A 27,838-nucleotide genomic window follows, 5' to 3' on the forward strand; every position below is an offset into this window, starting at 1 on the left:
CATAGTAGGTGCTCGGGAATTATCGTTTTATTGATTGAATGAAATAACCTTGACTTCCTAAGGCCTATAGCCCTCAGTTTGAGAAATTCCTTTTTTTTTTTTTTTAACTTTCTTATTTGCTGTTTGGTTCTTATTCCATTGACTGCTCACCCCACTGCCTCATTACCCTTAGCAAGCTGAGAAAACTGGGTTATCAATTCACATGTGTGCTTGCAGCCTTGTTTCACTTGGCTATAACCCCTGTTGGCATTCGTCATCCATCATTTCCCTCCTGCCTTGGGTGTCCCAAAGCCGCACCTGCTGGTTTCCTCCACCTCGCCGCGGTGTCTTTTCAGCCTCCCTGAAGGCTGTTCTGCTTCTATCCCGACCTCAAGCGATGCATCCTGGGGAGAGGTTCCTCCTTGGCTCTGTCCTTGGTATCTCTCCCTCAGAATTGCATCATTTCAATTTCCACCAGATACTGATGACTCACATTTTCTTTTTTGGGCTAAATCTCATGTTTGTTTGTTTGTTTTTTCCAGACACATTGATATGACTACATGCTGGACATTTTCTTGCGGAAATCCAAAAGAAATCCCCATTTTCTTGCAGAAATCTAAAATAATCTCCCCTATGTGCAAGTCAGACTGAGCACCACTCCCAAGACCATGACCTCCCCTGCAGCCCTGCTCCTTCCCACTCACCTCTCCTCTTGAGAAAGCCACCTCCCACCACCCAGTCTGCAGTGCCAGAAAACTGGAAACCAGCCCCTAAGCTGCTTTCACCTTCGGCCCATTTCTCACTAGCCAGCCTCTCCCACGGCCTCCCCAGTTTCTTCAAATACACCCCCTCCACTATTCACCATACTGCCACCGTGATTTATTTACAACTTTTTGTCCGGATTACCTCAGTAGCCTTCTAATTGTCCCCTTTGCATCTAAAGTAGCCCCTCTCATCCCCCAAATCTTACGTCACTCTTCTACATAATTCTGGCTTTCCATGACCCATAAACCACATTTCTCAAGTGTGCTCTATGCTGGCTTGAATATGTTAATAATCTTAATTCTACTTTTAGTGCAATTTTCTTAGAGCTGGCATCACTTTCATCATGACGTGAGAACTTACTAGAGATAGGCAATGATGACTCACAGTCAAGCCACATGTCATATGCTGCAGACATCTGGACTGCTGCTTATTTGCAAATCCTTTTCTTCATATTTTTCTCATTTGTAGCACTGGATCAATTCCAATTAAGAGTTTAATAATGAATTAACTAATGATTTAAACAGGTGGATAAGACTAACACTGAACCAATGATTTTAAGTAAATCTAAATACATAAATCCCCCCAAATTATTAATCTATGTTGTTTACTAAGAAGTGTATTAAAATGATATTGAAAAAGTTTGCTTTGGGAAAGAGCTAGAAGTTAGAAGGTCTAGGTTCAAATCCCGCCTCTACTCCATCCTTGACTAAGATGTTGGACCCATCACCTCAACTTTCCTTGGGTCTTTTTGCCCAGACATGACCCGATGACACAGAGCTTACCTGGACCTCCACAATAGTAAATAGAACAGGGCCAGCAAACCAAAATTTGTTGAGTCCTTTAGAATTAAGTAGCTTAGATAAATTTTCATCAAAATCTTTATATAGTAGGGAATAGAAAAAAGTCAATTCTGTTTTATTTGAGGATGTATGAATATGTTACCATTTTTCAGACTCTGATTTACCTTCCAATTATTGTTTATTGGGGTCATTGTAAATTAGTTATCATTTTTTGAATACACATTCACTGCTGACAAAGTGGTGAAGCCAGAAGTTATGTTTGACCAGGGAAGATTATGACCCTCAAAGGAGAAAAATTCACAGGGGGTAGTTGATTATTGGTGGAATGGAGTGAGAGTGAATTCCTTAAAAGTTTAAACGAAAGCAGAACTATATTCATATCATGGAGGGAACTTAGTTTCTAATATGATGAACTATTGCCCCAAGTCATGACAATACCTTGCTCTCTGGAAGAGAATGAGTGAGTTTTTCATCCGCCAAGATACACACTCTATATTTCCAACCATCACATCTGCCTTGCAGGCTGACTGAACCCAGAGCAAATCAATCACAAAAGTTAATCCAAAAGACTTCCCTTCAGCTGCTGGAAATCAGTCATCACATCTGTGAAAAGAGTGCTAGTTATAACAAATGAGATCACAAATTTGACCATTTTATTAGACACCCTCTATTAGTGTTAACAGACAAAGATGAAGGTTAAGTTGAAATCAAATTGAAATCTTCTTCCCTCTGTACAGATTGCAATATCTGATAATACCCTCAACTTTCTTGGTGCAAATTAATTGCCTGGTACTCACAGTCCAGTGTTAACAGGCAATAATGGTGTGATTCCAGAGGAGAGTACTAGGTGGCAGGAAAATAAATGAGATTAGCAGTATTTGACTTGGAGCCATAGGCATCAATTCTGCTCCAGCTGTCGACCAGGTTCTAAAAACAAGACTCGGAGCAGCTTTTGCTCTTGCTAGTGATGCAGGGCCAGGAGAGCCCCCACACTCTGCATTTGCAGGTGTCCATGAGGGGAAGCCACTCCTGCATTTATCCTGTGAGTGGAGAAGCTCAGAGGAATGAGGACATTCCAACAGGGTATCAGAATTCTCTTTTGTTTATGCTAATTGACAGCAGGAACATCACCATCTTGGACAAACACCACCATTTTAAGTTCTCTTTTATTTAAAAACTGCCTAAATCCAGCCCCAAAACATCAGCCTAATGGCTATTGTCAGCATAATCAGAAACATTCCAACCCTAAGATAAACACCCCTCTGGCCAGAAATATGCCGACCCCGAGACAGCCTCCCCTCCGACCAGAGACATTCCAAACCCGCAGTAAACTTTCCTTCACATGGAAACATTCCAAACCTACAAAAAGCTTCCCTCTTCCTAAACCCTTAAATATCCTTAGTCTGCAAGAGAGAATGCTCCTGACTGAAATCAGCCAGAAGCCCCTCTCAGGTTTATTCTCCAAAATAAACCTGTCTTTGACTGTTGAGCCACTTTTTGTGTTTCTTTCCTCTTTGTTTAACCCTTACACTAATGTTAAATTTACATAACATTGAGTACTTCATGCTTTCCAGAGAATAAGGAGAATGCACATGAACTAATGCAAAGTTACACAGGTAATGTGACTTCATCATTAGCATATGGTGTTATACAAATAAATTATCCAAACTTTTGAAATTGATATATTTATCAATGGTAAAGCTAATAATTATCATTAACTGGAACCTTCCATGTGCAAAATACTACATGTCTTATGTCATAATCCTCAAAACCTGCAAACTATTATTATTTACGTTTTATAGATAAGGAAACTAATGATCAGTGAGATTGAATCAACTGTTTTAAGTCATCTATATAGTCAATGAGACTATATTGACACCAGGTCAGTTTGATTCCAAATTATATGCTTTATACCATATTGTGATAATATATACTTAGAGTTTCTACTTCTCTTGAGTTACACCATGACCACCATAAACTCAACCTGTCACTCAAAACAACAGAAATGACAATCCAAAGATTCTGTATTTGTAGGTTGAGGATCAACTCAAATAGTTACCTAAGTCCCAGACCATTGTAGAAAACATGGATCTCCTAAAATAGGATGACAAGGCCAAGACCACCTTCGCCAGATGGAGGCAGCAGAGATCAGAGGATTTGTATACAGAATCGCGCAGTCCCAGCTAAGTGAGGGCAGCTTGTCAACAGTATAGGTATAGGAATACAAGAACGTGAAGTTGATACACAGCTTTAGTCCTCACCTAAAATCATATTGGAGACATGGAGCAAGGTCAGTGAAGGGACATTCAGCCAGAAATGAGGAGGAAGAGGTCAAGATGAACAGCAGGAGTCAGGAGTCTGTGTGTGAGCCAGTGAACCAGGAAGTCTCAGCCAGGTCAGCTGACCCAAAGGGAAATCAGCTGCATGGTCACTGTGCAGCTGAGTTTGAGTTGCATGTTATTCATCTGCATGGTCACTGTGCAACTGAGTTTGAATGGCATGTTATTCATCTTTTTTTCCATAAGTGAGAAGTGTTTTAAGCTGGTAACTTTCTAGATACCCACTTTAATGTTAATAGATTTTTTTTCCATCCCAAAAGGGATGAATGCAAAGGCCCTAGCAAGAACACAGCTATCATTTTCCACTGGAGTTATTATCCAGGGATGGGGGTGGTGAACTCATCCTGGCTCATAATGTGTTAGAAGATAAATCACTCCTTCTAAGTAAAAGCAAACCTTTCAGTGGTATTTCTAGGAGAACACATGCTGCCTGGTGAGCAGAGGTTACTCAGGAATATGCTGGTAAATTGAGAGAAACCATCCTCATCTCCCACTCTCCAACACCCTCTGTTTTAAGAGCAGGAAATTCGCTTCAAGGAAACAAGAACTCATAGGGGTAGAAAGGAGCCCAGAGATCACCTAGCTCAACTGTGCACTTTATGAATGTGAAAATAAGATACTGAGAAGGTGTTAAATGCCATTAGTTCACTATCTTGCCTGTATTGCAACATCGGCCTTCTGTTTCCCTGTTGAGTTCTTTACTACATGCTTAAAGCAACATCAGACACGTAGGGGAGGCTGCACAGAAAGCAGAAGGCCAGTGAAGAAGGTTTACACAATTCTCCAGAAAACATAAAAGAGAAAAGGATTGAAACTGACTCTTACGTTTTCAGAGAGATAAAATATAAACAAGAAAAATTTGAAATTTAACCCCAGAAGACAGATAAGATCCTATTAGTTTAATCAAAAAGTTGGTAACACAAACACATGACTAAGATAAAGGGGCATAAAATGTACCTTACCCCCACCCCCAACAAAAAAATCTAATCTCATCTAAGATGCAGAAGAAAACAACTATAAATCAAGAAGATACACAACTTAGGAGAAATCTACCAGCCTGAAGCCATCAATAGTGTGGGGAACATTTGGTTAAGGATAAATGGAGAGGAAGCTTAGCTGATACAGTTTTAGAATTGAGGTTATGGATGATGTTATCCTGGTACACAGACCTAGTATCACAAACCTGACAGAGAAATAAGATCTAGTAGCAGCAAGGAATTCCAACTATGGACATTTGCTGGAAGTCTCATTCTCAGAATATCTGATAAATCCCTGGCTTGTCTTATTGACAATTTAATCTCCCAGAACAGTGAGGTAAAATTCAATTCTCGAATCAAATAAAGGAGTTATCCAAAATTTTTCTTTTATGGTAGTGTTTCTTAAGGAATCATTGGCCAACATTGCAAAACCCAGTCTCTACTAAAAATACAAAAATTAGCTGGGCATGGTGGCACGTGCTTGTAATCTCAGCTACTCAGGAGGCTGAGGCAGGAGAATTGCTTGAACCCAGGAGGCAGAGGTTGCAGTGAGCCGAGATTACACCCCAGCCTGGGTGACAAGAGCAAAACTCCGTCCCAAAAAAAAAAAAAAAAAAAAAAAAGATCCATGAACCACTACTGGGTGTTCACAAGGTTAACATGTTTTTTTGAAAAATACTATCACATTTTTTATTTTCACTCCTTTAATATTTGCATGAAAGGTGCGAAAGCAATGGTGAGTAAAACATCCGTCCTTAGCATAAATCAACTAGTGGCATCTAATTGTCTGGTGGTCATTTGATTCTTCGCTACCACACACTCAAATAAATCAATATATAAATAAGTAAGCAGAAGCCACTGTTGTTTGTTCAAGAATGTCCTAATGAAGCAGTGGAAGTATTAATTTTATTAAATCTTGACCCTTGAGTACAGATCTTCTTAATAGTTTGTATGGCAACATGGAAAGTACACCACAGCTAAGGTATGTCAAACTACAATGATTGTCTCAAGAAGAAGCATCTGTGCAATCATTTGAGTTGCAAGCTGAACTAGCCACTTTTTTTTTTCATGGAACTACCTTTTTATTTGAAAAATTAGCTAACAAAGTATATGTATTCAGGTTTGGTCATTTAGCAGGCTTTTCTTGAAATAAAAGGAGAGAGTGTGTAATGTCAAGGAAAAGAATTGATAGTATTTGTGGTCTAATAAAACTTCAGTTTTCTGGTGAAATTAGAATTTCTGAAAACTTTTACTCACCAAGATGACCCTGACGGTGGCAAATATTTGAACACTTTTCTAGTGATGTCAATGGTGGGTTTTTTGATATCATACAATTACATGTGTAAACATTTGAAAAACCAAATGCATGATGTTGCAAAATCATGCATGAGTAAAAAGTAGCATTCAAAGTGCAAGACAGACTAATGGATTTTAATGCAAAAGAGTATGCAAAATTTATCAATAGGTTTCCAATTTCATATCACAAGCAACTTTAAGAAAACATTACTACTCAAAATTGTTGTTGTTAACGTCAATAAAGAATATCCGCAGTTAACTGAAAAGGCTGTAAAATAACCCTCTCATTTTAACCCATTTATGCCTGAGGTTGCAATTTTTTGAATTTGAAAAATCAGACCTTGGTGATGGCCTTGAGCAGTAGGATATAAATAACTCCCACATGCTTAGCGTTCCAATAATGGAACAGTAGGCATAAATGGCACCAACAATTTTGACTATAAACTACCTATTTGAGTTTATATTTTCTTCATTTACTTCAGCCAAAGCAATAGCACAGCAGACTAAATGCAGAATCAGATACGAGAAGCCAGACACCAAAGAAATTCATAGAAATTAAAACAATACTATTCTTTCCACTAATTATTTTTAAAATGTCATATAAAATTGGCGTGTCATATAACAACATCATATAAAATTCAATATAAATTTCAATGAGTTCATTGCTATTTTTAAATTAATTCTCTAAACATTTTTATGGTAAATGTCAATAATAACTCACATTAGTGAAAGCTCTTTGGGGTCCTCCATCATTTTTAAAGGCATAAAGGGATCCTGAGATGAAAATGTTTCATAACCTCTGTTTCATGATAGCCCCAACCTCCACCATTCCCAGCAAACCTATTTCCCTTAACTTGCTTAATTTTTTCCGTAGCACTCAGCCCCTCCTAGCATATTTTGCTTTGATTCTCTGTTTGATGTTTATCTCCCACAACTGGAATCTTTACTCCATGGTGAAGGAACCTTGTCATAGTTTTGTGCACTCTTCTATTCTTGGTGCAGAAGATATCCTGGCATATAGTAGGCACTCAATGAATATTTGTTGAGTGAATGACTTAAGTGAATGATTAATAATATCTGTCCTTCAAAGGCTTCCCGCCACCAGCCCTCCCATTTTTATGGTGCAAGTCTCTAGGATTTTCCATCAGTGTCTGTCTGAACTTGAGCAGACCCACAGTTGCTACCCGAGACATGCTTGACCTTGCCTGTTTATACCCCTCTGCAAGGAGAGCTCAGTGCATACTGTAGATGATTTTTCACCTGGAAAAGTCTCTTTAAAACTCAGAGCACTATGTCAGTCTTGTATCCAAACATCCTAAAGTATTTCCATTTCCTTTTAGTAAAATTACAGAGCAGCACTTCAGGCACTGCCAGACGCCTTGGTCTCGAACTGCGACCACTAATTGTCTACTCAGACTATGTTGCTTTAACGAGGGAAAGTCGAAGCTTCTTCACCTAACGATAACACTAATCTCAAAATCACAAGCTTATAGCTTAAGACAAATTCAGAAAAATGTCTGGGAGTATTATTTAAAAAGTACAAGCTCACTATGAGTGAAACAGATTATGATACAATCTTGTGCTGTGCCCATTAAGGATAGTGTTGACCAAAAAAAAAAAAAATTAGTGCTTTTGCACATAATTTGTACTGGCAAAGCCACATTTCCAAAGAAGGAGTCATAAATGAAATTGTCATAGAAGGGAGAGATGAGGGCAAACAAGGAATGCTTTGTCTAAGAGAGTGAAGACAGTGGGGCATGAGGGTTGTTTTCAGATACATTAAGGCCTCAGTCCCTGTGGCCCTGGGAGTCAACGCTAGATAAATTGGTATAAGGGAAGCAGTTTTAACATTATCATAAATAAATACATAATAATTTCAGGTATTTGGGAGTGGGACAGATTCCCTTGCCTGGCTGCGAGCGTGCCTTTCTCTAGAGTATTTAAGAATGCTTATTGGCTAGCTGCAGGAAGAAACCTTAAGACAGGGATTTCTTCATTAGTTTGGCTTGGAAGGATGAAGGGGTTCTTATATGTCTTTTAAAGTTTTGAGGGTTTGTTGTTTGTTTTACCAATAAGATTATGGTAAAAATATAGATTCCTATTTTTGTATTCTAGTATATTTCTGCATTTATTTATTTTTTGTCGGGGGGGTGGGACGGAGTTTCGCTCGTTTCCCAGGCTGGAGTGCAATAGCGTGATCTCGGCTCACCACAACCTCCACCTCCTGGGTTCAAGCAATTCTCCTGCCTTAGCCTCCTGAGTAGCTGGGATTACAGACATGCACCACCATGCCTGGCTAATTTTGTATTTTTAGTGGAGACGGGCTTTCTCCATGTTGGTCAGGCTGGTTTTGAACTCCCGACCTCAGGTGATCCGCCTTCCTCAGCCTCCCAAAGTGCTGGGATTACAGGCGTGAGCCACTGAACCTGGCTATTTCTGTATTTTTATGTGCCACTTTTTATGACAATTAATTCAGAAAATTCAGAACAATAACACTGTATTTCAATTGCTTGCAAATTTAAAATATTTCTCTATAAACATTCATTCATTTTTACTGTTTAAAGGAAAGGATGACATTGATGGCATAATACTGAATCTTAATTCTTCAATAAAGTTATTAGTAATTTTCTTTATTTTACATGAAGTAACTACTTCACTAGACCCTTCATTGATGGTGCAAAGGGGAAACTTGAACACAAGCCCTGTGAGATAAATTAACCTGGCTGAACCTGCTGTCACTAACAACCTCTCCAGTCAGGTGAAATGTCCAGCTTGTTAACTAAGATGCAATTGAGTTTCTTTTTTTTTCTCTTTTCTTTTCTTTATTTGAGACAGGGTTTTACTCTGTTGCCCAGGCTGGAGTGCAGTGGCATGATCACAGCTCACTGCAGCTTCAACCTTCTGGGCTCCAATGGTCCTCCCACCTCAGCCTCCTGAATAGCTGGGACTAAAAGTGCACACCACCATGCCTGGCTAATTTTTATATTTTTTGTAGAGACAGGGTTTGTCATGTTGCCTAGGCTGGTTTCATACTCCTTGGCCCAAGAGATCCTCCCACCGTAGCCTCCCAAAGTGCTGGGATTACAGGTGTGAGCCACTGCGCCAGGCCCTGAGTTTCTAAAGAATTGTTAAAACTGCCTTAACATATTTTTGAGACATACACACACAAAATCTTGGAATGCAAATTGATGATGGCAGAACATCCAGCCTATAGAGTGTGAAATTAACAGAATCCAAGAGCACAGAAATAATCTAATCAGTTGACCAAATGAATAATTCTTACTTTGACTCTCTGGGTTACCTAGACAGAATATTTAGAAAGGTGGTAATAAACTACAGAGAATCTAGCAAAGTATGGGATAAATTGTCAGATTAAAAATAATAACTGTATATACAAAATTGATTGTATTTATGTGAGCAATGAACAATTGGTCATTGAAATTTTAAAATATTACTGTTTGAAAGAGCAGCAAAAACTTAGGGATGAGTCTAACAAAAGATGTGGAAGATTTGTATGATGAAAGCTGTGAAACATTGGTGATAAAAATGAAAGAAATCCAATAAATGTAGAGGATGTATGGTGTCCCTGAGTGGAAAGCCCCAAGGTTGTTAATACATCAGTGCTCCCGCAAAAGATCCATAGACTCACATAATACAAATAAAATTCTTAGAAGGGCTTTTTTTTGGGGTTAAAATTTATGAGTTGATCCTAAAGTTTATACAACAAAGCAAAGAACTTAAAACACCGAAAACAGTTTTGAAGAAAAAAAAAATCAGAGAACTTGTTGTACCTAATTTCAAGACTTACAGAAAAGCACAGAAATCAAGGAAGGTATTGGTAAAAGAAGAGACTTTCTAGCTCAATGGATCTGAATAGAGATTCCAGAAATAGACCTACACATACATGGTCAGTTATTTTTTGACAATGGTGCCATTTAATGGGCAAAAGATAGCCATTTCAACAAATTATACCAGAACAATTGTTCATCCATATGCCAAAAATAAAATTTATATGAAAAAAGTGAAATTTACACTATATAAAATTAACTTGAAACAGATCACCTAAATATAAGACCTACAACTATAAAACCTCTAGAAGAAAATACAGAAGAAAATTATTGAGACCTTGGCAAATAAATCTTAAGACACAAAAGAAAAATTCTGCTGATCATTTTTAGACATTTAGCGTGTCATCTGATTTCTCAACAGCAGCACTGAGAGTTGGAAGGCAATGGCATAATATGCTGAAAGAACATGATAACTGTCAACCAGATTTATATCCTCAGTGAGAATATTTTTAGGAATGAGAGCTATACCTATTTCCAGACAAAATAAAACAGAAATTTGCCACCGAAAAAAGAAAAAATCATAAAAGAAGCAATTGATTAACTGGACTTCATCAAAATTAAAAACTTCTGCTCTTTGAAACAGACTGTTATTAAAAAAAAAAGTAAGCTGCAGGCTGTCATTCAGGCTGGAATGCAGTGTGCAATCATGGGCCCCTGGGCTTAAGTGATCCTCCTGCCTCAGCCTCCTGAGTAGCTAGAAATAAAGGCCCAAGCCACTGCACCTGGCTAATATTTTTTTAAAAAATTTATAGAGATAGGGTCTTGCTATCTTGCCCAGCCTGGTCTCAAACACCTGGTTTCAAGCCATTCTCTCACTTTGGCCTCCCGCAGTGCTGGCATTCCAGGCATAAGCCACCACACTGGGCCTCTACTCTACTTTTCGATGTTTAGGTATGTTTAGATACACAAATACCTACCATTGTGTTAACAATTGCCCGTATATTCAGTAGAATCACATGCTGTACAGGTTTGTAGCCTAGGAAAAAAGTATGGCACACTGTTCAGTAAAAATTTGCAGGGTAAAATAAGCGAATAAAATCCCACTTTGTTGTTGTTGTTGTTTTCTATTATCCAAGAGAACTTTGAAATAGCTCCAGAAAACATATTTCTTATTCCAAACACATTCATCTTCATTTCGAAAGTAAAAAAACTAAAATACTAACTCAGAGAAAAATCAAATGTTTAATTTTGGAAAGTATAAAAATTTACCAAGATTATTAACAAGTAGTTACATACTTGATTTAAAATGCATGTTGTCCTTTAAGCTGCACAGACCAAAGAAGTCTTTTCCAAGCTTCTTGGTGCAGAACTATGCTGACTCAACTGAGTACTCACCCAGGCTTGGGGTCAATTCAAACCTTCCTTTAATTAAAAAAAAAAAATTTCTCCCTCCCTGAAGCAAGCTTCCTTCCATGCTGCTACTGTTATGTGAAGATGGAGCAGCCTCTTTCCAAAAATCCCATAAATCAGCAGCTCTTAGATTTCATGGCATCATGTTGATATTGCTTCTTGACTCTCTAAGGTTTAGCATTTTTTGATCACCTTTTCTTCTAAGAAAGAATCTCAGCTTTTTGGTAGTAAGTTGAGAGTTAAACTTCCGATTGACAGCTACTTAACTCATGTCCAAAAATGTTGAGATAAATGGTAGTTGAGACAGTCCAAGGAACAAGTTGAACTTTGTCATTAGATACTTGTGTCAAGCAGAGCATGAGAATGTAAACTCCTTGGTTTAAAATGATTTGGTCCTCATAGAAGCCCTTTCCCTGAACAAAGATTCAGGACCATGCTCTCAGCTCTTACCAAAGGCTGGTATAAGAAAAACCTTCGTGAAGTGCAGTTATTTATTATTTTTAAGTAAAGTTTATTTTTTCCGTATATGAGTAATTCATACTCATTATAGACAAATTGGAAAAATACAGAAAAGCAAAAGGAAGAAAAATTTTAAGATAGTCCCATTCCCCAAAACAATATGGTTCATTTCCACTCTCTCTTTGTTCTATGAAATTATTTTTAAAATCTTCCGGTAAGATAATAAACATAATTTACAAAGCATATGTTTTCTGGGAAAATAGTTCTGAGGACATGGTTTATGTTATGTCCCTAATAAGAGTCTACAGGATTTCTTGATAGAATATAAAATTGTCTCTTATAGCAAGTCAATATGGTTTCTTTTATCACACAAACTGCATAGAGCATTATCTTATTTCTCTATTATACTGGGTAACAAGAAATTCAGACAATTTCGTGCTCATTTTTAGTAATGTTCTCCCCTAATCTTCCTCTTCCCCCTCTCTTTCCATGTGAGTTCTGTTTTCTCTTTTATCTTTATTTTATCTACCATGCATATAAAATATAAATGAGCCCCTTTTTGTAAAAATCACTTACCAACTCCCTTTTGAGGAAAGTAAGACGCAAATAAATAGATTGGCAGTCTGGGAGAAGCACAGTAACTCTTTTACTTTTATTCTGGTGAAAATGCAAAGAATAAAACCTAATATTCACCAGAGGAGAAGGGACACACAGGGTGAGACAGAAAAACATACAGGGGCTGGGGACGGTGGCTCACGCTGTAATCAGAGCACTTTGGGGGCCAAGGTGGGCAGATCACTTAATGTCAGGAGTTTGAGATCAACCTGGCCAACATGGTGAAATCCCGTCTCTACTAAAAATACAAAATTTGTCAGGTGTGGTGGTGTGTTCCTGTATTCCCAGCTACTCAGGAGGCTGAGGCAGGAGAATTCCTTGATCCCGGGAGGTGGAGGTTGCAGTGAGCTGAGACAGCCTCACTGCACTCAGCCTGGGCCACAGAGCGAGACTCCATCTCAAATATATATATATATATATATATATATATTTTTTTTTTTTTTTTTGAGACATGGAGTGTCTACAAACTACAAAATTCAACCATAACACTAAGATCTTGCTGGGTACAAAAATGTACACACACAAAAATAAAATAATAAATGTGATGCACGGAAGATAAGCAGACTAATGTTTATTGGGATAATTTCGCTTACTAACCATGCTATATCCTGTTATCACTCACCTCAAACCCTACTGTCATCTAAAAGGGGAATCCCTTTCCTTGTAGGTGAAAAGGGATTCTCCTTTTATATGGCAGTAGGGTTTGAATGCATTCTTGGTTATTCTGAATGCACTCAAAATATCAAACTGTAGCCGTTTTGTTGCTCGTGAGTATCTCATGCTACTGTTGCCCTGAAAAGTCCATGCAGTATGGAGATGCTGAAGGGAACTCAGGCCACTTCGACAGGTCAGTTATATGGTAAGGTGGGAATGGGCAGAGAACGGGGATGACGTGGAAAATAATATAAATTTTAAAGACTCTAAGGGTAAAACTATTAAAAAGAGAAAATTCACAAGTTTGGAAAATAAAAAGGGAAATGAGTTTAATGCAAGTCATGGAATCTACTGGACTATCCTCTGCGAGAAGATTTAGGACGTTAGCTCATGGTTGTTGAGCTGGGACTGGCTCTGCAGAGAAGAGAGGAAGAAGCTTGGGATACTGTTGGAAGATTAGGGAGATCCTGGGAAGGCCGAGTGTGTTTTGATAAATGCAGTTTCAGCCTCACACATTGAAAGATCTGAGAAAATACAATAAATTGATAATATAATAGTAAAGATAATAGTCATAAAAATGACAGTGTTTTGCAATTAATGTGCTGCCTTTGTATTTGCTAACATTATTAAACCTTCAAAATCCTGATTGAGTAGGTGGAGCATATTATTATTATCCCCATTTTCAATATCAGGAAGTGAAGCTCATCGTTGGCCAAATGGCTTACCTGAAGTCACACAGTAAGTGACAGTATACCTCTCAGAAAATGTCCCAACAGGGAGGGAAAAAGCATGGCACACTGTTTAGTAAATATATGTAGGATGAAATGAATGAATAAAATCCTACTTTGTTGTTGTTGTTTTTTCTATTTCCATTATCCAAGAGAACTTTGAAATAGCTCCAAAGGCCGGGCACAGTGGCTCATGCCTGCAATCCCAGCACTTTGGAAGGCCGAGGTAGGCACATGACCTGAGGTCAGGCATTTGAGACCAGCCTGGCCAACACGGGGAAACCCCGTCTCTACTAAAAATACAAAACTTAGCTGGGTGAGATGATGTACGCCTGTAATCCCAGCTACTCAGGAGGCTGAGGCAGGAGAATTGCTTGAACCTGGGAGGTGGAGGTTGCAGTGAGCTGACATCGCACCACTGCTCCAGCTTGGGCAAAAAGAGCGAAACTCCGTCTCGGAAAAAAAAAAAAATAGCTTCAGAAAATATATTTCTTATTCTGAGCAAATGCATCTTTATTTCTAAAGAAAACCAACTAAAACACTAACTCAGAAACAAAATCAAATGTTTAATTTTGGAAAGTATAAAAATTCAAAAAAAGAAAACTAATATTACTGATACCCCAGAGATAAGCACAAGTAACAGTTTGGTGTTATCCCTACAGTTGATTTTCTATGTGTTTTTCTGCATGTATTTTTTGAAGTTACATATATCATGCATAAATTTGTTTTTCAGAATTTACAAATATATTGTAAACATTTTACCATCAATAAATGCTACAGCATGATTTTGTCTCTATTATGGTAAAAAACATGCAACATGAGTTCTACCCTCAACAAATATTCAAGTATACAACATAGTATTGTTAACCATGTGTGCACTGTTCTACAGCAAATCTCTAGAACTTTTTCATCATTCATGATCAAAATTCTATACCCATTAAACAGCAACTCCCCATTCGGCCTATCCCCCAGTCCCTGGCAACCACCATGCTATTTTCTGCTTCTAAGAGTTTGGTTACTTTAACTACTTCATATAAGTAGAATCATGTAGTATTTGTCCTCTGACTGGCTTATTTCACTTAATATAATGTCCTCAAGTTTCATCTATGTTGTAGCTACATGACAGAATTTCCTTTTTTCTTAAGGCTGAATAACATCACACACACACACACACACACACACACACACACACACACACACACACAGTGTATTTCCATTATTTTGAATAAATACCCAGAAGTGGGGTTGCTGGATCATATGGGAGTTCTATTTTAAATTTTTTGAGGAGCCTCCATATCTTTTTTTCATAATGGCTGTACCTACCAATTTACATTCCCACCAAGAGTGTACCAGCCTTTCAATTTCTCCACTTCCTTGCTAATATTTGTTATTGTCTCTTTTTGTTTTTTGTTTAAATAATGGTTATCCTGACAGGTGTGAGATAATATCCCACTGTGCTTTTGATTTGCCTTCCCCTGCTGATTAGTGATGCTGAGCACCTTTTCATAGACTGGTGGCCATTTGTATGTCTTTTTTGGAGAAATGTTTGTCCAAATCCTTTGCCTAGTCTTTAACTGGGTTATTTGGTTTTTTGCTATTAAGTTGTAGCGGTTCCTCACATATTTTGGATATTAGTCTCTTATATATATGACTTGCAAATATTCTCTCCAATTCCATAGGATGCCTTTTGCTCTGCTGATTGTTTTCTTTGCTGCACAGAAGCTTTTTGGTTTCATATAGTCCCACTTGTCTGTTTTTGCTTTTTTAACCTCTGATTTTGGTGTCATAGTCAAGAAATCATTGCCAAGACCAGTCGTGTAAGGCACCTCCCCTACATTTTTTTTCTAGGAGTTTTATAGTTATAGCATGATTTTTAAAGACTGCCTAATAACTCATTGGTTGGATCTACCAGAATTTATTTAACTAACATTCAGGTACTAAACATATAAGTTGTTTCTAAGTTTTGGCTAATTTAAACTTTGCTACAATAAACAACTTTGCATCTAAATTTCTTTGCACCTATCCATGCATACTTCCCTAAGATTAAATTCCTATAAATACAAGCGGTAAGCCAAAAGCATTAAACATTCGAAGTCTTTGGATATTTATGGATACAATGTACCCCTTGGCCAATGTTAGAGTATGAAAATATGTAGAATAAATGGCAATGGGGAGGTAGAATAGACTCCACATTCTGTGCCTTATCATATGTACACCACACTTAGAATCCAGATAATTTCAATGGGGAAGAACTGAGGGAGATGCAAAGGAAGCTTATTGGGTTTCACAAAAGCCCACTGGTAAATGACAGAGAACGTGAAAGGCCACATGTCTAATCAGAGACTTTTATTATAGAATAGTATAAAACAAAAAAGCATGTCAAAAAAATAGATAAGGCAACAATAATCACAAAAAATTCCCAGGTCTAATCCATGCGGGAGGGAGCTCAAGGCCAGGACAAGCCACTTGTTGGCAACGATCATAAAATACTCGCACGCAACAGAGAAAAAAGCAAAATTCTTCCTATGTCCCCCTTTTTTTTTTCCTGTTATGACAAATGACCTACAAATGAAAAAGTGTAAGAATATTGGAAGAAGATGTCATTTCAGAGGAGTTTTACTCTTTAGTTTCAGACAGTCTTTCCCAGGGTGGTAGGAAAGGTTATGCAGATGGGTATGAATACATGCTGTTGGCCGTCTTTTGAGAAATAACATAGGTATTATTATTATATTGAGAATAGCTTACGGAGAAGAAGCACTGGACATCTTGATCTGGATATATTCTGAGTAGATATTTTTAAAAAAGGTGGTGGGGGTGAAGGATGGAAACCATCATGACCATAGACTGGTAACCTTGTCATTTCTCCAGGGAAAATACTCAGGCAGAGAATTAAAAGGAGGATTCTGGAGCATTCTTTAGCAAAATAAGTGATTGCCAAGATCATGAGAAATGGATCAGGCTAATGGGGCTACCGCCTCCCTGGCACATGCCCCTGTGTGCACCAGATGCAGCTTCCCCTCTTGAGCTAACACAGCCCTGCAGTCCATGCCAGAGTGGACAACGTCCATCAGAAACGTCCATCAATGTCCATCAGAAAGAGGCACCTGGAAGGTGTCTTTGGGCAGAAATAATCCTCCAACACAGCTGGATTTAAGCTCCCACTGACTGCCTTGGGCAGATGCCCTTGTTTAGAGCTGAGATTCCATCATGCCAAACTAGAACGGTATAGCATTTGTGGTTAAGAGCTTGGCTGTCTGATGGGCTTGGATTAGCTTCAGACCTACCTGTTACTAGCTTAGTGACCTCTTTGTGACATCTTCTGTCCTGTAAAGTTGATGTCTTAATGATGTCTTCCTTGCTGTGCTTGTTTGAGAAGAAAAAGCTAGACCAGCAGGATAAAAGCTCCCATAAATAACATTATGTTTCAATGCAAGGAAGAATGTTCTTTAAAAAGTCACCTGATAAAAACAGAATGGGCTGCCCATGAGATGGTCACAGCCAGGGTACGATGAGGCAGAGTTGGGATGGTTCTTTTCTCGTCTCCTCTAGACTGTGTGTCCTGATTCTAAGAACTTCAGAAAACATTACGTGCATTTTAAAAAGCTGTATGAACATGTGGTGCTGCTGTGAGCAGTGGATGGATTGTGCTGTTTACAGGACAACCCCCACGAGGAAGTAGAATGTTAAAAAAATAAGCAAACAACAGACCAGGAAACCTCTGGTAGACCTGTCCTTTGTCACATTTTGCTTCAAACACTCAAGTCAAAAGGAATTGTTTAATGGCTACAATGATAAAAGATCCTTTCCAGAGAGAAGAAGTGATTTAAAAATTGATGTCAATGAAATATGTCAGTTATCTTATATGAAATGACCCTCTGACCATCCAGGATTTTGTGTGTGTGGTTTTGTGTGTGTGCGTGTGCGTGTGTGTGTGTGTGTGTGTGTGTTTTACCAGGGAATTCATTTAGATTGTTATTTCCCAAATGAGTTGAGATCATGGATTTTTACCAACATACATAATTAAAGGCTCCAATTAATACTATTTCCACAGTAATTCCTTTTTTTCTAAGTTGTATAACTTAGACTGCAGATTTAGCAGAGACGTGACATTTCACTAAAAAGTAGAAATCATAGACAAGTGTAGGGATTTTCATGATGCCTAAAACAAAAGATCAGTTATTAAAAATAAAGGCCTTCCCCCAATAAAAATGTCTATCCGTTTGAAGTTTTAATACGGTCTTAAAACATTACAAATAACTAACTTTACTTCGAATAACAAATATTTGAAAAAGAAAATAGGGTTGAAAGCCCAACTCTTAGAAACAACTTCCTAGAGAAATCTTCCAGGCATAAATTACTTGTAAAAAGTAGCTGTGTCTGGAAAAGTGGGTAAATAATTTACTATTCCAATACAGAAACTTGCTATTAAAGGAACATGAATGAATCCTTTTATTTAAAGAAGAAAAACCAAAAAAACATTTAACAAGAGAATTAGCATTTCCCTACTTATCTATATTATAATTTTGCACATCAGTTTTTCTTGAGGTGTAAAATACTAGCAATAATAAATAAGCTATGTTATAAAAATCTAAAAGTTATTTAACATGATTTATCTTATTTGTTCTGTGTGACAGAGTTTGGGAGAACAGCTACCTACGGTACCATTGAAGCATATGCACAACTATGAAATCATGAAAGTGTGAACCTAGCCAAGGTCTCAATCTTTACGGGTCCCACTTTTCTTATCTTCACAAACAAGGAAGTTGGGTTAGATTAAGTGTTTAATGCTAACATCCTTCTCTCTCTCTCTTTTAAAAACTAGAGCATTTATTATATGACTAATTATTATTATTATTATTATTTACATTTTAATTTTTCTCTTAAATTTCTTTTCTTTTTTAAATTATTATTATACTTTAAGTTTTAGGGTACATGTGCACAATGTGCAGGTTAGTTACATATGTATACATGTGCCATGCTGGTATACTGCACCCACTAACTCGTCATCTAGCATAGACATCTACAGAACTCTCCACCCCAAATCAACAGAATATACATTTTTTTCAGCACCACACCACACCTATTCCAAAATTGACCACATAGTTGGAAGTAAAGCTCTCCTCAGCAAATGTAAAAGAACAGAAATTATAACAAACTATCTCTCAGACCACAGTGCAATCAAACTAGAACTCAGGATTAAGAAACTCACTCAAAACCGCTCAACTACATGGAAACTGAACAACCTGCTCCTGAATGACTACTGGGTACGTTACAAAATGAAGGCAGAAATAAAGATGTTCTTTGAAACCAACGAGAACAAAGACACAACATGCCAGAATCTCTGGGACACATTCAAAGCAGTGTGTAGAGGGAAGTTTATAGCACTAAATGCCCGCAAGAGAAAGCAGGAAAGATCCAAAATTGACACCCTCACATCACAATTAAAAGAACTAGAAAAGCAAGAGCAAACACATTCAAAAGCTAGCAGAAGGCAAGAAATAACTAAAATCAGAGCAGAACTGAAGGAAATAGAGACACAAAAAACCCTTCAAAAAATTAATGAATCCAGGAGATGGTTTTTTGAAAGGATCAACAAAGTTAATAGAATGCTAGCAAGACTAATAAAGAAAAAAAGAGAGAAGAATCAAATAGATGCAATAAAAAATGATAAAGGGCATATCACCACCGATCCCACAGAAATACAAACTACCATCAGAGAATACTACAAACACCTCTATGCAAATAAACTAGAAAATCTAGAAGAAATGGATAAATTCCTCGACACATATACTCTCCCAAGACTAAACCAGGAAGAAGTTGAATCTCTGAATAGACCAATATCAGGAGCTGAAATTGTGGCAATAATCAATAGCTTACCAACCAAAAAGAGTCCAGGACCAGATGGATTCACAGCCGAATTCTACCAGAGGTACAAGGAGGAACTGGTACCATTCCTTCTGAAACTATTCCAATCAATAGAAAAAGAGGGAATCCTCCCTAACTCATTTGATGAGGCCAGCATCATCCTGATACCAAAGCCGGGCAGAGACACAACCAAAAAAGAGAATTTCAGACCAATATCCTTGATGAACATTGATGCAAAAATCCTCAATAAAATACTGGCAAACTGAATCCAGCAGCACATCAAAAAGCTTATCCACCATGATCAAGTGGGCTTCATCCCTGGGATACAAGGCTGGTTCAATATACACAAATCAATAAATGTAATCCAGCATATAAACAGAACCAAAGACAAAAACCACATGATTATCTCAATAGATGCAGAAAAGGCCTTTGACAAAATTCAACAACGCTTCATGCTAAAAACTCTCAATAAATTAGGTATTGATGGGACGTATCTCAAAATCATAAGAGCTATCTATGACAAACCCACAGCCAATATCACATTGAATGGGCAAAAACTGGAAGCATTCCCTTTGAAAACTGGCACAAGACAGGGATGCCCTCTCTCACCACTCCTATTCAACATAGTGTTGGAAGTTCTGGCCAGGGCAATTAGGCAGGAGAAGGAAATAAAGGGTATTCAATTAGGAAAAGAGGAAGTCAAATTGTCCCTGTTTGCAGATGACATGACTGTATATCTAGAAAACCCCATTGTCTCAGCCCAAAATCTCCTTAAGCTGATAAGCAACTTCAGCAAAGTCTCAGGATACAAAATCAATGTACAAAAATCACAAGCATTCTTAGACACCAATAACAGACAAACAGAGAGCCAAATCATGAGTGAATTCCCATTCACAATTGCTTCAAAGAGAATAAAATACCTAGGAATCCAACTTACAAGGGACCTGAAGGACCTCTTCAAGGAGAACTACAAACCACTGCTCAATGAAATAAAAGAGGATACAAACAAATGGAAGAACATTCCATGCTCATGGGTAGGAAGAATCAATATGGTGAAAATGGCCATACTGCCCAAGGTAATTTATAGATTCAATGCCATCCCCATCAAGCTACCAATGCCTTTCTTCACAGAATTGGAAAAAACTACTTTAAAGTTCATATGGAACCAAAAAAGAGCCCACATCGCCAAGTCAATCCTAAGCCAAAAGAACAAAGCTGGAGGCATCACACTACCTGACTTCAAACTATACTACGAGGCTACAGTAACCAAAACAGCATGGTACTGGTACCAAAACAGAGATATAGATCAATGGAACAGAACAGAGCCCTCAGAAATAAGGCCACATATCTACAACTATCTGATCTTTGATAAACCTGAGAAAAACAAGTAATGGGGAAAGGATTCCCTATTTAATAAATGGTGCTGGGAAAACTGGCTAGCCATATGTTGAAAGCTGAAACTGGATCCCTTCCTTACGCCTTATACAAAAATCAATTCAAGATGGATTAAAGACTTACATGTTAGACCTAAAACCATAAAAACCCTAGAAGAAAACCTAGGCAATACCATTCAGGACACAGGCATGGGCAAGGACTTCATGTCTAAAACACCAAAAGCAATGGCAACAAAAGCCAAAATTGACAAATGGGATCTAATTAAACTAAAGAGCTTCTGCACAGCAAAAGAAACTACCATCAGAGTGAACAGGCAACCTACAGAATGGGAGAAAATTTTTGCAACCTACTCATCTGACAAAGGGCTAATATCCAGAATCTACAATGAACTCAAACAAATTTACAAGAAAAAAACAAACAACCCCATCAAAAAGTGGGCGAAGGATATGAACAGACACTTCTCAAAAGAAGACATTTATGCAGCCAAAAAACACATGAAAAAATGCTCATCACCACTGGCCATCAGAGAAATGCAAATCAAAACCACAATGAGATACCATCTCACACCAGTTAGAATGGCAATCATTCAAAAGTCATGAAACAACAGGTGTTGGAGAGGATGTGGAGAAATAGGAACACTTTTACACTGTTGGTGGGACTGTCAACTAGTTCAACCATTGTGGAAGTCAGTGTGGCGATTCCTCAGGGATCTAGAACTAGAAATACCGTTTGACCCAGCCATCCCATTACTGGGTATATACCCAAAGGACTATAAATCATGCTGCTATAAAGACACATGCACACGTATGTTTATTGTGGCACTATTCACAATAGCAAAGACTTGGCACCAACCCAAATGTCCAACAATGATAGACTGGATTAAGAAAATGTGGCACATATACACCATGGAATACTATGCAGCCATAAAAAATGATGAGTTCATGTCCTTTGTTGGGACATGGATGAAACTGGAAATCATCATTCTCAGTAAACTATTGCAAGGACAATAAACCAAACACTGCATGTTCTCACTCATAGGTGGGAATTGAACAATGAGATCACATGGACACAGGAAGGGGAACATCACACTCTGGGAGATATACCTAATGCTATATGACTAATTATTGAAATCCTTAACAGCCTTCTTCTGTAAATAAACTTTGTAACATTTTAGAATAGTTTTAGATTTCTAGCAAATTTGCAAAGTTAGTACAGAGAATTGACATATACTCCTCATCCCCTTTCCTCTACTGATAACATCTTACATTATTATGGTACGTTATTATAACTCAGAATCCAACCTTGGTACATTGCCACTAACGAGACTCCACATTTTACTTGAATTTCAGCAGTTCTTCCCCAGTGTCATTCTTTGGTTCCAGGGTCCCATTCAGGATACCACATTCCATGTGTTGTAGTTTCCCTGTCTCCTTCATCCCCTCCGGTCAGTAACAGGTTGTAAGGCTTTCCTTGCTTCTCCTGACCTTAACAATGTTGCATAGTACTAGTCAGTTGTTTCGTAGAGTGTCCCTCACTTTGGATTCATCTACATTTTTCACAGTTAGAACGGGGTTGGGGTTTGGGTTTGGGGGAGGAGTCCCACCGAGGTACTGTGGCATCTCCATGGCCTCCTATCAAGGGTACATGCTATTAAAATGACTTACCGCCAATCATGTTGACCTTGGTCACCTGGCCAAGGTGGTGTCTGGTTTCTCCACTAAAAAGTGCCCAGGTTTCTCCACTATAAAGTTACCTTTTCCCCCTTTCCATTCTTTACTCTTTGAAAACAAGTTCTCCAAAGTAAATCCCACTCTCAAGTAGAAAAGAAGAGATTCAATGTCTCCTCCTTTTTAGAATTCTTCTGGAAAGAGGGTTTGTCTTTGATCCTCTTTATTTATTTATTCAATTATATGTTTGTCTCAGTATGAACCTTCATGTGTTATACTTTGAGTTTTAATCCAACGTTACTTTATTTATTTTGTTGCTCAAATTGTTTCTGCTTTGGCCATTGCGAGCTTTTGAGTGTTGGCTCTCATGTCCCTTTGAAACGCCCTAATCATTTTGTTCTTGAGCACTTTTAACTTTCAGGCCCTACAAGATTTTTTTTAAGTCATTTGCCCACAATTACTTAGTGAGCCTATAAATGTTGCTGTTTTATAGGATGCGCCCAAAATAATGACCATTTTCGTGCCTGCTCCTAGTCTCATCTAGATCCCACTGGAATATAAACAATTTGAAGAAGAGATTTCTTTTTTCATCTTTAGGTCCTTATGCAAATGTGAACATATTATACATCAAAGACCATTTAGTCCCAGTGATGCAGGTGGGCAGGTGAGCCCCACAACAGAGGCTTCGCCCAGGAAATAATTTAACGGTGAGCCAGTGGCATTAGACAGCCATCTTTTACAGAACAGGAGCTGCATCCAGAGCTGCACTTGTGGGCTGTTGGCAACTGTATTTTATATCCACTTGTATCCACTATTACATACATGCAAATTAAGGGGTTAGTTAATGCAAATTGAGAGGTGGGTTAATCAGAACTTTCTAGGAAAAGGGTAGTAATTTCTGGGTCATTGTCATGGAAAGGGTGGTAAATTCTAGGGGGTTGCCATAGCATTTGGAAACTGTCATGGCACTGGTGGGAGTGTCTTTATGCTAATGAACAATGAGGACAGCTAGGAACCACTTTCAGTGCCATCTGCTGTGTTTGACCTGTTTGTTCACTTCTTTCTGTCTGGATCAGATCTGGTTTTGGTCAGCAGGGTTGTGATCAGGAACAAATCCTGCTGGTCTCCTACCTCATTGGCGATTGAGAGAGAGAGGTTGCTGAGACCCTGCCCTAGGGTTTTTTGCCTTTTTAATAGGCCAGCCTGGAGCTGTTCTGCTTCACCCTAGACTTTCTCCCTGTGTTTGTTCAGTAGAACTGCAGTGTGCTATTGGTCACAGATTTCAATGAGATAGAAACCAAAAATAGTTCAATCCAATGAAGATTGCCCAGTCAACGCCTTGGTAGGGAGGTGAAGGGGAAGGAAGGAGGATAGTTGAGATGTAAGCCACACTGGAAATTGAATGGGAGGAGCAGTAGGGTCAAATGTATATATTACAAGTACTGTATGATAAACTACCCCCATAAACTCATAAACATACCTGAGTTGGTTCCTAGGATGAGTAGATTGGGAACAGCAGGAGATGCACCTGAATGGATGAAACGATGTAAAGAGATGACCGCTGGCATGCTTTTCAAACTCTCGCGCTCTGTCTTATAGTTTGTTATACATTTCTAATTAAGTAGTTCTGGAGTAAGACCTCACAATATTTATTTCTAACATGTCCCCAGGCAATGCTGATGCTCTGGGTCTGGGGACCACACTTTGAGAAGCACCGCTGTCAATCGTTGAATGAGTCAGAGGCACCATAAAGGTGCTAACCCTACTGTCCCAATGTGGGTCACCAGAACAACCCTTATGTGAAAACTCAGCCCCAGAGCTCCATCATCAACTTGCTTTCTGACAATCAAACTAAAAGTTTGTGAGTATTAGCTAGCACCAAATTGAGGTGGATGTGATTTGGAATCAATTCTACTTGGTGGGGAAGGGGTGAGGGGGACACTGAAGGGAGTTTTCCAACCTCCCATTTCTACAAGTGGGTCATTTTCACTTACAGTTATTGGACAGAGACATATAATTGAGAAAATGAAGATATTGTGGACAAAAATGTCAGTGAACCTTGACAAGACCTGGTTGAATAGATATATGCCTGTGTCCTACCAGCAAGTCACCTCTCTAGACCACAGTACTCTCCGGGTGACATCAGAAGGTCAGCCTCGGTGGCTGGAGAGGTATTTCTAGCCAGTATATAGTGATTCAATTTGTTCATTTATTCAGTAGACGTTTCTGGAGGACCTGTTTTGGGCCAGTGTCTATACTGGGCACTGGAAATAAAGCCAAGAATAAGATCCACATCAAGCTTTTCAGTCTAGTGACAAAAAAGAATAAAACAAATAATTACAATACATCTGGCTGAGTGTTTTAATGAGGGAAGCACAGAGAAGTGTGACTCTCGTCAGGAAAATGAGATTACAGCCCTAGCCTCACCTTCCAATAACTGGTCTCCAATATTCCTCCTGCCTCTCTTTCACCTGAAACAAAATGTACGTTACGACAACTTTCTTTTTCTTTTTCTTTTTTTTTTTTTTGAGACAGAGTCTTGCTCTTGTCGCCCAGGCTGGAGTGCAGTGGTGCGATCTTGGCTCACTGCAACCTCCGCCTCCCAGGTTCAAGTGACTCTCCTGCCTTAGCCTCCCAAGTAGCTGGGATTACAGGCGCCTGCCACCATGCCCAGCTAATTTTTGTATTTTTAGTGGAGACAGGTATCACCATGTTGACCAGGCTGGTCTCGAACTCCTGACCTCAGATGATCTGCTTGCCTTGGTCTCCCAAATTGCTAGGATTGCAGGCATGAGCCAACACGCCCAGCCACATGACAACAATTTTCTAATGGCCCCATCTACCCATTTCAGTCATTGCAAGGATGCGACAAGATCACCAAAAACACGTTAGATATGTAGAAAGAATTATAATACACTTTTCTCTTTCCCCAAAACATAAGAAGCAGAATGAATTATTTCCTATTCTAACAGAACCAGCTCTTCCACTGCCATTTTTCTACCTAAAATGTTCTTGTTTCTTCTGAAAGAATCCACCCTAATTAGAAAAGCAAGCAACAACAACCTAAAACAATCTATTAACACTGTAGCCCAGAACCCAGAAATGTCATTTGTATTAAACCGTATTAAGAATAGTGAATAGTTTCATATACCTAATCAACTGACAATGTTTGAGTCCATGACTTTAATTACCATCCTTTATAAAGACAACAGCTCCAATAAAAAAAATTATTTTAGTAAGTTACTTAAACCAAGTATGAACTGTTTGCTACAATTTCTCTTTTCATTTAGAGACTATATCATTTATTTTGGTTTTGTCTGTTTCATGAATGCATTCTTGACACAGTATCTCTACAAGAAGCCTATGTTCTCCTTAGTAAAAGCAGTAGTATTGTTGTAAACCTTAGTTTAACTTTTGTGGTGAAAGTGGATGGAGTAGGATTGTAGGCACTTATTCCTTTGAAGTAAAATAATCCTGAATTTTTTGTTCTGAAGATTAAATTTAACTGTGCTCATGAAGGTGCTTTGTAAATAGCAAAGAAAGATATCAATATTAAGCATTATAAATACCCACGTTAAAGTTAGGTGTTCAATGAATAGACATAAATTGCCTATAAAGGAAATGTTTTTCTTTTCTAATAGTCCAAATCAATGGCCTATTTGTTTTTTTTTAAAGTGTATCTGTTAATGATATACATAAAAATAAAATAATGACATTGTAATTCTTTTTCAACTTTGGGAAATGAAACTCTTGAGTCAAGGAATCTCAGATAAAAGTTGTTATTACTTATGTTTTTAGGTTTTTGTACTTCTTTGGAATTTTGAAATATCATAGAAATAATAAAAACTTGCACCACGAGTAAAACAAACAGGGGTTTAGAAATAAATCATTAACTCTTCTCCCTCTTCATATTCTATATCCAGAAGAATGTTAACCTTTCACTCAACGTACTTCCGTGTATTTTTCTATGCTCGTGTAGACATATAGATCACCCTTCCATCTCTTCCTTCCTCCTTCTCTTCCTTTCTTCTCCCTTCCTTTCCCCTCTCTGCTCTTTTTAAAATTTTTTATACATTTTCAACAAAAATGGGATATACCATATACTACTTGCTATGTAATATTTTTAACTTAATATAATATGCATCTTTTTCTATAGAAACATACAGCTCTAACTTATTCTCTTTAAATCATTCTTTTTGCTAGGTATGCTCCAGCCTAGAGTACAAACATGTTACCATTTATTCAACCTATACTGTATTGGTAAACATTTGGGTTTTTTTCCTTCCTTCCTTCCCTCCTTCCTTCCTCCTTTCCTCACTTCCTTCCTTCCTCCCTCCCTTCCTCCCCTCCTTCCTTCCTTCTTTCGTTCCTTCCTTTCCTTCCTCCCTTCCTTCCTCACTTCCTCCCTCCCTCCCTCCCTTCCTCCGTTCCTTCCTTCCTTTCCTTCCTTCCTTCCTCCCTCCCTCCTTCTCTTTCTCTTTCTTTTTTTCTTTCCTTCCTTCTTTCTTTCTTCTTTTTTTTGGAGGGGAGGACTATCACAACAATTTGTTGCAGTAAATTCCCTTGTATACATAACTATATGTGCTAGGCTCTCAAAATAGTGATTTTAATTACTATTTTGAAAACAGGAGAATGCCTTCACAATTTCGGTAGCAGAGGACAGGGCTTGCACCTTCATATTAGATTATCTCTAGATTAGTGAAAACGGTGTACTATAAGTTAAGGTACTATAAGTTAGTATGCATATTGCTGGCTATTATTTGAACAGCAGGATATCTACTTTACGGTATAATGAGATCCTTCAAGACAAGCTTTTACTATGTTATTATCATTATTACTTGCCTCTTGAAATCAAACCTTATCATATTTTACATTAGATATAAATGTGAAGCGGGCAGTGATAAAACCAACTTAGCAATAACTATAATTATTAATGGCAACGATTATTCACTATTAGTCATAATCACTCACGCTTTTATCATTCAGATAAATCTACTATCAAGCAGATTTTAGTGTTGTTCATAATATGTTGAGATTAAAAATGGGCTCTTTTAACTTCCAGGTAACTAAGTGCCCTGCTTTGCGAATCATCACTGGACTC

At 38.1% G+C, this 27,838-nt stretch overlaps 2 long non-coding RNA genes across 5 annotated transcripts in view; one reads left to right on the plus strand and one right to left on the minus strand.

Annotated features, from left to right (window-relative positions):
- Nucleotides 1–3,037, plus strand: part of LINC00707 (long intergenic non-protein coding RNA 707) — a 63,309-nt gene extending 60,272 nt beyond the window's left edge. The window contains exon 5 of the long non-coding RNA NR_038291.1: nucleotides 522–3,037. This is a non-coding gene — a long non-coding RNA (long intergenic non-protein coding RNA 707). The remainder of the gene's footprint in view (nucleotides 1–521) is intronic.
- Nucleotides 1–27,838, minus strand: part of LOC105376387 (uncharacterized) — a 294,200-nt gene that overhangs the window by 15,600 nt on the left and 250,762 nt on the right. The window contains exon 3 of one of the 4 annotated variants that reach the window (NR_188185.1): nucleotides 10,922–10,980. The exons of the other annotated variants lie outside the window; for them this stretch is intronic. This is a non-coding gene — a long non-coding RNA (uncharacterized LOC105376387). The remainder of the gene's footprint in view (nucleotides 1–10,921; nucleotides 10,981–27,838) is intronic. 4 annotated transcript variants of the gene reach the window in all.

This window comes from Homo sapiens, chromosome 10 (assembly GCF_000001405.40).
Source record: "Homo sapiens chromosome 10, GRCh38.p14 Primary Assembly".
NCBI classification, from domain to species: Eukaryota; Metazoa; Chordata; class Mammalia; order Primates; family Hominidae; genus Homo; species Homo sapiens.